The sequence below is a fragment of the Homo sapiens genome, chromosome 1 (assembly GCF_000001405.40).
Source record: "Homo sapiens chromosome 1, GRCh38.p14 Primary Assembly".
In the NCBI taxonomy this organism is placed as follows: Eukaryota; Metazoa; Chordata; class Mammalia; order Primates; family Hominidae; genus Homo; species Homo sapiens.
In genome coordinates this window covers 228020978-228033880 of record NC_000001.11, presented here as the reverse complement: position 1 = coordinate 228033880, position 12903 = coordinate 228020978, and the positions used below count along the sequence as shown (strand labels likewise).

Here is a 12903-nt window from a genome sequence, read left to right as displayed (position 1 = left end):
AATACATTTAACAAAATAAGTGCAAGATTTGTATGCTGAAAACTACAAAATGTCATGAAAGAAATTAAAGACCTAAATAGGAAGATATCCTATGTTCATGGACCAGAAGACATAATATTAGTAGAACAATATTTCCCAAACCGATCTACACATTCAACACAATTTCTAAAAATCTAAGCTTTTTTTGCAGAAATTGATGAGCTAATCCTAAAACTCACATGGAACTGTAATTGTCTCCAAATAGCCAAAATAACCTTGAAAAGAAAGACGAGCAGGAGGACTCACATGTTCTAATTTCAAAACACTACAAAACTACAATAATCAAAACAGTGTGGCACTGGCATAAAGACAGACATATGGAACAATGGAATAGAATAAAGAGCACAGAGATAAATTCATACATCTAGGGCTAACTGATTTGCAGTAAAGTTGCCAAGACTATTCAAAGGGGAAAGAACAGTCTGCAACAGATTGTGCTGGAATAACTGGATTTCCACATGCAAAAGAATGTGATTGGATCCCTGCCTCACATCGTCGATGAAAATTAAAGACCGAGATGTAAGCACTAAAACGCTAAAACTCTTATTTAAAAAAAACCTAATGAAGAGTAGATCTTTGTGAGCTTGGGTTAGGCAATTGTCTCTTAGATATGGCATCAAAAGCCAAGGAACCAAATAAAAAACTGATAACTTGGAATTCGTCAAAATTAAAATCTTGCATGTATCAAAGGACACCATCAAGCAAGTGAAAAGACAACCCACAGAATGGGGGAAAATATTTGCAAGTCATGTATTGGATAAGGGACTTGTAAGCAGACTATATAAAGCACTCTTACAACTCAACGACAAAAAGACAAATAACCCAATTAAAATGTGGGTGGAAGAATGGAATAACATTACTCCAAGGAAGAGAGGCAAATGGCCAATGAGCACATGAAAAGATGCTCAACATCCTTAGATATCAGGGAAATGCAAATGAAAACCTCAGTGAGACATTGCTTCACACCCACTAGGATGGCTAGAACAAAAACAACAAGCAGAAAATCACAAGTGCTCATGAAGATGTGCAGAAATCAGAATCCTCAGATCCTGCTGATGGGAATGTAAAATGGTGCAGACACTCTGGAATAGTTTGACAGTTCCTCAAAAAGTTAAGCATGGAGTTCCTCTGTGACCCAATTCTGCTCCTAGGTATATGCCAGAGAGAACTGAAAATACACATTCACACAAAAGGCATTATTTATAATAGTCAAGAAATTGAAAAAACCCAAATGCCTATCAGTGAGTGAATGGATAAACAAAATATGGTCTATCCATACAATGGAATATTACTCAGCCATAAAAGGGAAGGAAGTTCTGGTATATGACCAGGCTCCTAGACCATAGATTTGGGGACTCCAGAGCAGGACTCGTTCATAGGCCTTTCCTTGAAGCAGCTGGAGTTGCCATCAGGTTTAGGACCCAGTGCTATTCACCGACTTTGGGGCTTTGCATTCAGCTGGCTGGGCCCCCAGCCAATCTGCTGGCTGGGATTCCCATCTGTGCAGATCTGTGCCTTTCCATGGGCATCGTCCAATCCAGACAGTGATGCACAGGCTCCCCAAGGCTCAGCTTGGAGGACAGACCCAAGGGTTCCTGAATGGTGTGACTCATGAGGCTAGCTTCCTCCTGGCCTCCAGCTGGGCTCAGATGCCCAGGTTGGGAGTCAGTGAGCTGATGCCGTCCATGGGCAGGAGCCCTCCCCGCTTTGGCAAGTGAGATGTCCTCCCTGCTTCCACAAGTGAGAGACACCCTGACATTCTGGAGGGCAATGAAATATCCTAAAGATTCCCGAGGGTAGCAGGGCTTTAGGGAATGGCATGTTCCCCTCTGACCCCATGCAGCACAGCCTTCCTCCATCACCTGGTATGGCTCCAAGCAGGACAGGCTTCCTGCTTTCTTCCTAAAATCGCTGCTTCCTTCTCAGAGGGGGAGTGGCAGCCCTAAGCACCCCATCCTGGCTCTGGAGCCAGCAAGCACATGGCACAGGGCCCAGTCTGGTGCTCTTGGCCTTTTGCAGTGTATATGTTGCCCATGCCTCCCTCCATGCCACCACTGGCTACAGCACAGCCCAGGAACCCTAGCGGGCAGCAACTGCATCACATGCACACATAGGCATGCACATGCATGCCACAGCCACATGCACACGGCACAGGCACATCCACATACACCCATGCACAGGCACATGTATCCACCAAACCACATACACATTCACTACACCTGACACATACACATGCACACACATGCACAGGCACACACCCCACACACCACATGCATGTGCACACATGACACATCACACCACATTCCCACACACGTGCACACTCACATACACACAATGCATCACACGCCACACACACCCTTGGACACGCTCGATGAGCTGCACGGCCCTGGGACCTGACTCCTGTGCACCCTGGCAGCTATCTCCAGGGGAGCTGCGTGGTGTATTACCCCAGCCAGCAGCTCTGTGAGGTCTGACAAGCTGTAAGTATTCTTCCACTTTATAAATGGGAGGCTGATGCTCCAGGAAGTGAGCTGCCTCTCACTCAAGATCACAGGAAGGCCACCATCCAAGCTCCCCAAGCTCCAGTTTCTTCTCCTACAGGGACCCTGACTTGTCCTTCAGGGACGTCCTCCTCATCCCAGACCCACAGTGACCAGTGCCCGGACTCTGAGCCTGACCCTCGGGTCCCCACTCTCTGCCCCACGGTGCCTTCCCCACGCCTGAAGAACACAGGCCCGTGATGAGGGCTGGGGCGTGGCCATGGCCACTGGATGCTGGAGGGCTCCTGCCCATGGATGGCCTCAGCCAGGCCCCACCAGCCCTGGAGGCAGTGTCAGCTGCACACTCAGGAGCTCTCCTGGTCAGTGCACATGCCAGGCCCCCCAGGGCCAGGCACCTCCCCTCCAAAGGACTTGTGGTCTTCCTTCGCATTTGGCTGCAGGGGCTGAGCAAGGCCATGCTGTCCTTCCACAGAATCATCAGCTCATGGGGCTGACCAGAGGCTGTGAAGCAGGGTTGGGGGATAGGAGCAAGCGTGGGGGACACTCCTGAGAGGGCCTGTGGGAATTACTACAGGAGAAAGGGTGTTCCTGGCAGAGGGACTGCAAAGTGCAAAGGTGGGAGGGAGGGGGCATCATGCTCAGTGTTTGAGAAGCAGCCAAGAGGCCAGTGGGGCTGGAAGACACAGAGAGTGTCTCAGTCCGTGTGGGCTGCTCTAAAAAAACACCATAGCCAGGCAGCTCATAAACAGCACAAGTCCAAGGGCAAGGCACTGGCAGGTTCAGTGCCCGGCGAGGACACATCCTGGTTCATAGACCTCTCTTTCTCACTGGGTCAGACCTCTTTTTCTCGCTGGGTCAGCATATGCATGGTGGAAGGACTGAGAGGTTCCTTTTTATTTATTTATTATTTGTTTATTTATTTATATTTTTCCTTTTTTTTTTTTTGAGATGGAGTCTCACTCTGTTGCCCAGGCTGGAGTACAGTGAAGCGATCTCGGCTCACTAAAACCTCCGCCTCCCAGGTTCAAGTGATTCTCGTGCCTCAGCCTCCCGACTAGCTGGGATTACAGATGCCCACCACCCCCCTTGGCTAATTTTTTTGTATTTTAGTAGAGGCAGGGTTTCACCATGTTAGCCAGGCTGGTCTCGAACTCCTGACCTCAAGTGATCTGCCCGCCTCCGCCTCCCAAAGTGCTGGGATTTCAGGCGTGAGCCACCACGCCTGGCCTATTTATTTTTATTTTTATATTTTTTTAGAGACAGGGTCTCATTCTGTTGCCCAAGCTGGAGCTCAGTGGTGCCATCATGGCTCATTGTAGCCTCAACCTGGACTCAAGTGACACTTCCTGAGTAGCTAGGACTACAAGGCACTGTGCTTGGCTAATATATGTTAACTTATTTTTTGCAGAGATGGGGTCTTGCTATGTTTCCCAGGCTGGTCTTGAACTCCTGGCCTCAAGCAATCCTCCCACCTCAGCCTCAGTGGCACTGATCCCACTCATGAGGCTTTATCCTCATGACCTGACCACCTCCCAAAGGCCCCACCTTCTAACACCGTCACCTGTGGGTGAGGATTTCAATGTAGGAATTGGGGGGGGGGTGGGCACAAGCATTCATACTATTGCGGGGAGGACAGGGAGGAGGGTAAGGTGGCAGCCAGGGGCCCAGGGTTTTTGACCTAAGCAACAGAGAACTGGGGTTGTCCGTTATAAAATGAGGGAGACAGCGGGGAAGCAGATTTGTGGAGAAGTGAGATGAACTCTGGCCTTGGGCATTCTGCCAACAGGACCCCCAGGACTGCAAGGTCCCTGGGAGGACTTTCCCAGCGTGACCTGTCTCGCTTTGTCTGAGTAGCCTTCCTTCGGCACCATGGTCTCCAAAGTCTCCTCGGCCTGCTGACCACATGCTCAGCACAGCTGTGGTTCCCTGGGCCCCGCCTCTGCCGGCAGGACTGTGCTGAGCCACCCTGGGGTGGATGGTACTATGCACATTCCGCCCTACATGTGGGTCTCCCAAGGTGACCTTGATGCTCCATCGAGTGGTGGGATCTGTGTCCTCTACCCCAGAACGCAGCCTGGAACCCAAAAGGAAGCTCCAAGGGCCCTCCAAAAAATTAGACACAAACGGTTAGTACCGACATTGTTAGCTCTCTGGAAAGTAGTCAAAGGGTCACCGCAACCCACTGAATGCCAACTTGAGGAAATGATGACCTTGACTTGCTAGGAGAGCCTGGTAGTGTTTTCATGTGGTGGTGCCTACAAACCTGCCTGGGACAGTGAAGGCCGGCGTTCCCCAGGTGGGTGGATAGTTCTGGAGGGAGCGGAGCAGACCTTTTCCCCAAGGAATTGTTTGTCTGTTTTAACCTGTCTGGGTAAAAAAAAAACTCGTTTTGCCTAACTCAGAACTGTCTCAGGAGAGAGCAGTGGCTAATTGAAGGGTGGTCTTTGAAAACCTTGAAAGTTAAATAAAGCCACTGCCACCTGGGGCAACTGGATAAAGGGCATTTGTGAAAAACCTGCAGCCAACCCCGCTGAAGAAAATCATAGACTACACAAACAAACAGAAACACATCCCATGCTCATGGACAGTAAAAATCAATATTGTGAACATGACAATACTGCCCAAAGCAATCTACAGCTTCAAGGCAATTCCCCTCAAAATGCCAACATCATTTTTCACAGAATTAGGAAAAACAATCCTAAAATTTATACGGAACTAGCCAGGTGTGGTTGCTTAAGCCTGTAATCCCAGCACTTTGAGAGGCCAAGGTGGGTGGATCACTTGAGGTCAGGAGTTTGAGACCAGCCTGACTAAAATGGCAAAACTCCGTCTCTATTAAAAATACAAAAAACAAAAACAACAACAAAAAAAATTAGCCAGGTATTGTGGCACATGCCTGTAATCCCAGTTACTTGGGAGGCTGAGGCAGGGAATCCAGGAGATGGCTTGAACCTGGGAGGCAGAGGTTGCAGTGAGCCGAGATCACTCCACTGTACTCCAGCCTAGGCAACAGAGTGAGACTCCATCAAAAAAAAAAAAAAAAAAAAATTATATGTAACCAAAAAAGATCCCAAATAGCCAAAGCAATCCTAAGCAAAAACAAATTATACTACTAATTATACTACTATACTAATTTGAAGCAAACTTCAAATTATACTACAAGGCTATAGTGACCAAAACAGCATGGAACTTGTATGAAAGTAGGCACATAGACCAATGGAACAGAATAGAGAACCCAGAAATAAAGCCAAAAATGTACAGACAACTGATCTTTGACAAAGAAAACAAAAACATAAATTGGAAAAAGGTCACCCTACTTAATAATTGGTGCTGGGGAAACTGGCAAACCACATGTAGGTGAATGAAACTGGATGCTCATCTCTCACCTTATACAAAAATCAACTCCAGATGGATCAAAGCCTTAAATCTAAGACCTGAAACTATAAAAATTCTAGAAGACAACATTGGAAAAACTCTTCTAGACATCAACCTAGGCAAATAATTCATGACTAACAGCCCCAAAACAAATGCAACAAAAACAAAAATAAATAAATGGGACCTAATTGAATTAAAAAGCTTCTGCACACAGAAAGAAATAATCATCAGAGTAAACAGACAACCCACAGAGTGGGAGAAAATATTCACAAAGCATACATTTGACAAAGGCGAATATCCAGAATTGACAAGGAACTCAAACAAATCAGCAAGAAAAAACAAATAATCCCATTAAAAAGTGGGTAAGGGACATGAATGGACATTCTCAAAATAAGATGTACAAATGGCCAAAAAACATAGGTAAAAATGCTCAACATCACTAATCATGAGGGAAACACAAATTAAAACCACAACGAGATACCACCTTACTCTTGCAAGGATGCCATTATTGAAAAATCAAAAAATAATAGATGTTGGTATGGATGTGGGGAAAAGAGGATGCTTATACACTGCTGGTAGGAATGTCAATTAGTTCAACCACTGTGGAAAACAGTATGGTGATTCCTTAAAGAGCTGAAAGTAGTTCTATCATTCAATCTAGCAATCCCACTACTGGGTATCTACCCAAAGGAAAAGAAGTCATTATATGAAGAAGACACTTGCACACATATGTTCACAGCAGCACAATTCCCAATTGCAAACATGTGGAACCAGCCTAAGTGCCCATCAACTCACAAGTGGATAAAGAAAACGTGGTGTATAAGGCCAGGCACCGTGGCTCACGCCTGTAATCCCAGCACTTAGGGAGGCTGAGGCGGGTGGATCACCTGAGGTCAGGAGGTCAGGACCAGCCCAGCCAAAGTGGTGAAACCCCGTCTGTACTGAAAAAACAAAAATTAGTGGGGCTTGGTGGCTGGTGCCTGTAGTCCCAGCTACTCGGGAGGCTGAGGCAGGAGAATCGCTTGAAACCAGGAGGTGGAGGCTGCAGTGAGCCGAGATCGCACCGCTGCACTCCAGGCTGGATGACAGAGTGAGACCCTATCTCAATAAAATAAAATAAAGAAAATGTGGTATATATACACCATGGAATACTACTCAGACATTAACAGGATTTACATAATGTCATTTGCAGCAATTTGGATGGATCTGGAAGCCATTATTCTAACTGAAGTAACTCAGGAGTGGAAAACCAATATCCTATGTTCTCACTTATAAGTGGGAGCTAAGCTATGAGAACACAAAGGCATACAGAGTGATATCATGGACACTGGAGACTCAGAAGAGGGAGGTTGGGAGGGAAGCCAGGGATAAAACACTACATATTGGTTACAATGTACATTATTTAGGTGAGGGGTGCACTAAAATCTCAGTTCACCACTAACAATTTGTCCATGTAACAAAAAAACACTTGTATCCCAAAAGTTATTGAAATAGAAATTAAAAATAAATAAATAAAAAGAAAGAAAGAAAAACCTGCAGCCAACACCATATATGCAGGCAGCTCAAAGTTTTCACCCTAAGATCAGGAGCGAGGGAAGGATGCCTACTTTTACCATTTCTGTTCAACATAGCACTGGAAGTCCTAGCCAGAGCAATCAGGAAAGAAAAAGAAATAAAAGACATTCAAATAGGAAGAAAGGAGGCAGTTTCCATCCACAGATGACATCAATTTATATGTAGAAAATTCTACACAATTCACCAAAACCCTCTCAAAGCTAACAAACAAATTAAGCAGGGTTACAGTTGAGGATCAAAACTAAAAAAAAAAATGTATTTCTTGATTAAAAAGTTAAATTTCTATATATTAACAATGGAAAATCTGAAAAAAAATTAAGAAAACAATTACAAGCTGGCCACAGTGGCTCACGCCTGTAACCCCAGCACTTTGGAAGGCCAAGGCGAGAGGATTGCTTGAGCCCAAAAGTTCAAGACCAGCCTGGGCAACATAGGGAGACCTCCATCTCTACAAAAAAAAAAAAAAATACAAAAAATTAGCCAAGCTTGGCTACTCAGGAGGCTGAGGCAGGAGAATTACTTGAGCCTGGGAGATGGAAGTACAGTGAGCTGAGATGGTGCCACTGCACTCCAGCCTAGGTGACAGAGCCAGACACTGTCTCAAAACAAAAAGAAGAAAAGAAAAATGATTCCATTGACAATAGCATCAAAAAGAAAAATAGTACTTAGGAATACATTAACCATGGAGGTACACAACTCATACCCTGAAAACTACAAAACATGGCTGAAAGAAATTACAGAAGCTGGGCACAGTGGCTCATGCCCTGTAATCCCAACACTTTGGGAGGCCAGGGCAGGTGGATCGCTTGAGCCCAGGAGTTAGAGACCAGTCTGGGAAACACAGCAAAATCCCATCTCTACAAAAAATACAAACACTGGGAGGGCATGGTGGCGCATGCCTGTGGTCCCTGCTACTTGGGAGGCTGAAGCAGGAGGATCGCTTGAACCTGGAAGGTCAAGGCTGCAATGAGCCGTGATCATGCCACTGCACTCCAGCCTGAGCAACAGAGTGAGACCCTGTCTCAAAAACAAAAACAAACAAACAAACAAAATTAAGGAAGAAGACCTAAATAAATGGAAAGACCCTGAGCTCCTGAATTAAATAACTTAATATTGTTAAGGAGGCAATGCTTCCCAAGGCAACCTACAGAATCAGTGAAATCCCCATGAAAATCCCAGCAGCATTTTTTTTTGCACAAATGGAAAAACTGCTCCTAAAATTTACATATATTTGAAAGGGACCCCAAATAGCCAAAACAATCTTTTTTCCTGTCCCCCCCAAACAATCTGGAAAAGAAAGAACAAAGCTGGAAAACTTACTCTTCCCAGTTTCAAAACATACCACAAAGCTACAACAATCAAAATAATGTGGTATTGGTGACAGGACAGACATACAGACCAATAGACTGGAATTGAGAGTCCAGAAATAAACCTATACATCTATGACCAATTGATTTTCAACAAGGGTGCCAAGACCATTTGATGGGAAAAAGAACAGTTTTTTCCATAGAAGGTACTGGAATAACTGAATTTCCATATGCAAAAAAATGTGGTTAGATTCCTACCTCATACCATATAAAAAGATGAGCTCAAAATAGATTAAATACTTCAAAGTAAAAGATAAACTATTAGGTTTTTTGAAGAAAACATAGATGTGAATCTTTGTGACCTTATGTTAGCTAATTCTTGCTTCAGTATGACATCTATATAAACTGGATTTCACCAAAATTAAAAAATTTTGTGTATCAAAGGACACTCTCACAAAAATGAAAAAAACCTACACGATGAGAGAGAAATATTCACCAATCATACATCTGATGCACATCCAGTATCCAGAATATATAAAGAACACTCACAACTCAACAACAAAAAGACAAAGAATCCAATTTAAAAATGGGCAAAGGACTTGACTAAACATTTCAAAGAAGGTCTACAAATGGCCCCAAAGCCCATGAAATGGTGCTTGGCATCATCGGTCATCAGAGAAGTGCAAACTGAAATCAGAAGTAGGTTCTACTTCACACTCTAGGATGGCCAGAAGTAAGAAATACAAACACCAGAAAACAGTGTATCAGTGAGGATGAATCTGGAACCCTCAAACAATACTGGTAGGAATATAAAATGGTGCAACTGCTGTGGAAAATAGTGTGATGGTTCCAGCCCATTGCAGCCTTGACCTCCCAGGTCAAGCAAAGCGAAACAGAATTACCCTGTGACCCAGCAATTCCACTCCTAGATACAGAAACCAAAAGGTGTGAAAACGGCGTTCAAACACATGCATGTCCAAGAAAAGGCCACAGCAGCCAAAAGGTGGAGACCACGCTCATATGCGTCAACCTGAAGAACGAATAAACCAGTGTGCTCCATCCATGCAATGGAATATTATTCAGCCCATGAACAGGAATGAAGTGCTGAAACTATCCACAGTGCAGGTGAATCAACACACTCAGTGAAAAAAAGCCAGACGCAAAATATTGAGTGATGCCGTTTCTTAAACAGGCAAAGTAGCTAAATCACAGGGGAGAAGGCAGGCGGGTGGGTGCCAGGGGCTATGGAAGGGAGAAGAACGGGAATGGCTGCTTAATGCGCACAGATTTCCTTTTTGGGTGATAAAGATATTTTGGAACTAGGCAGGTGATGGTTGCACAATTCTGTGAGTATACCAAATGCTACTGAATTGAATACTTTAAAATCGCGGATTTTCGGTTATGTGAATTTCACCTCAACTTTTTAAAAAAAGATGCTAAAGTTTTAATCTTGTCCATGTTCTCTCCGTCTCTGTCTCTCTGTCTCTCAGTTTCTCTCTCTGTGTCTCTCTCTGTCCCTCTTTGTCTCTCTCTATTTCTGTCTCTCTCTGTCTCTGTGCATCTTTATGTCTCTGTCTTTCTATTCCTCTGTGTCTTTCTCTTTTGGTCGCTCTGTCCCTCTCTGTCTCTCTCTCTGTCTTTGTCTCTCTGTGTGTGTGTCTTTCTCTGTCTCTCTCTGCATCTTTCTGTCTCTTTCTCCGTCTCACTGTTCCTCTCTCTCTGTGTCTGTGTCTCTGTCTCTCTCTGTGTCTCTGTCTGTCTCTATCTTTCTCTCTCTCTGTCTCTCTCTGTCTTTCTCTCTGTCTCTCTTTCTTCTCTAGGGTGCCCCCAAACCTCTCCCTTCTTGTAGGTCTTTAAGTTTGTGTATTTCCTCTGCAAGCCTGGCCTGTGCCCTGGCTCCTGGGAGCAGCCCCGCCACTGGCCATGGTTGGAGTCACCTTAGAATGCCCGCTTTCCTCTCCAGGGAGCAGGAGGAGGAGGGATACCCGAATAACCCCACAGGCTCAGTCCTGCTTCAGCCCCAGACCGTCCTCCTGGAGGTAAGCGGGAAGGACCCCAGCGTCCGCGTGAGGCACTGTTCCCACCGTGTGCACAGATGAGAATGTCAGGCAGCGCTAGGCGGGAGACTCTGTCCCACTCCAGACTCATCTGCCCTCCCCCAGACCACCCCCATACCTTTGTCCAGCACGGGCCCGAAGATGGCCAGGCTGTCGTGGACGGTGGTGCAGTTCCACCGGCGGCCGCGGAACTGGTGCTGGCACTCCTGGATGCCAATCTTGATGCCCTCGGCCACGCTGGGCATGATCTCCACGTAGTTCCTGCAGAAGCGGAGCTGCTTGGGGACCAGGCCCGGGATGCTGGCACACAGGATGGGCTGCGAGCCCAGGGAGGAATACTGTGGCCCAACAGCCAGCGACCTGCAGAGGGCAAGATCCGGTGGTGAGTGTGGGGCTGGGACAGCGACACAGATGAGCAGGCTACAGACCCTTTGCTCTGGGGCCTCAAGTGCATTCGGGGGGCGAGACGCAGCTTCCACCATGAAGGAAATCTGATTTTTTATTTTGCAAGTAAGAGAATTTTTACTTAAAAGCCCAATTAAGGATTCTCTGTGGCCTCTAAAATAATGTTCATAAACCATGCCTTCTAATTTTTCTTTTTTTGAGACAGAATCTCACTGTGTTGCCCAGGATGGAGTGCAGTGGTATGATCATGGCTCACTGCAGCCTCCAGATTAGCTGGGACTACAGGCACACACCACCAGAGCCAGCTAATTTTTATTTTTACAGTTTGTAGAGACAAGGTCCTGCTATGTTGCCCAGGCTGGTCCCAAACTCCTGGCCTCAAGTGACCTCTCGCTAGAGCCTCCCAAAGTGCTGGGATTACAGGCATGAACCACCTTGCCCAGCTCTTAAGCCTGTATGTTATACAGGAAGTGCTTAATACAATGTTGTGTGCAGAATAAATACTCAATGCTGGCTATTTAATTTTTTCTAGATGTTTTGATATCATCTATGTGTTTTTCTGTATGTTTTATCTGGAAGTCTGATTTTACAAGGCCAGGACCCTGACCTGCCCTATCCCCAAAACTCAGCTCAGAATTCAAGTCGTCCAGATCTGTAACAGGAAATGATGCAGCCCCGCATTCCTGCTCAGCACAACTGCATGGGCCCCGTTCACACCAGGTTGACCTGGAGCCCAATGGGGGACTCAGGGCTAGAACCTGAGAACCTCAGGCTGGGGACCGGGTCAGGTGGGGGCTGCCCAGAGAAGGGATGCCCTTGGCTTTGGGATTGGAGGAGGAGGCCTGGCTTCCGGGATGTAGGCGTGACCCAGCGCAGAAATCACTGTGGAACTCAGACCCATCCCGCCAGCCCGCAGGCCCACTTTTGGCTATGTACCCCTAGATGTAAACACGTGTCCACAATGAGACGTGTTCAGGAATCTTCCCAGGCCTTTGAGCCTGAGAGCAGGAACTTGGACGCCACCCAAGCATCCGTCAATAGGAGAGTGAATAAACAAATGAAGACTGCCTCTAGGGTGCCAGGCTGCTCAGAAACCCGAAGGCATGGGCTCCCGTGAGCACGTGGGGAGGAGGGGCTCAACTGTGAGATGCTCCTGGGGCCCTCCGCATCCCCCAGTCTGAGCTCAAGACCAGGCAACACTCATCCGCGGGAGAGGTCAGCACCGTGGCAACCTCACTCCTCGTTTTCCAGGTCCCAACAGCTCCCAGGCTGTGCTCTGCTTTTGGCAAAAGGCATTCGACACCTGTGCCGTTTAAATTAATGTAATTAAGTTTAAAATTAATTAAAATGCAAGAAATGTAAAACTCAGCCCTTCGGTGGCACCAGCCATGCTTCACGTGTGGCCCGTGGCTACCCTGAATGGGACAGTTAGATAGGGAATGTGCCTGTCATCAGGGAAGCTCTGCCAGGCCAGCCTGGCCGAAGTGCTCTGCGTTTGACTGCGATGTTGGTTATGTGAGTGCTTCACGTCAGAACGAATTGAGCCATGCACTTAGGGTCTTCCATTTTGCTGTACAAAATACACCTCAATTTAAAGAAATCACCAGGTCCTTTTGGGCACTGGTGGAGGTGGGTGGAGGGAGA

General features: G+C 46.4%; 1 protein-coding gene across 1 annotated transcript in view; it reads right to left on the bottom strand.

Moving 5' to 3' along the window:
* WNT3A (Wnt family member 3A) overlaps window positions 1–12903 on the bottom strand; it is a 54274-nt gene that overhangs the window by 27391 nt on the left and 13980 nt on the right. The window contains exon 2 of the mRNA NM_033131.4: window positions 10973–11214. Within this exon, the coding sequence (NP_149122.1) occupies window positions 10973–11214 (242 nt within the window). The remainder of the gene's footprint in view (window positions 1–10972; window positions 11215–12903) is intronic.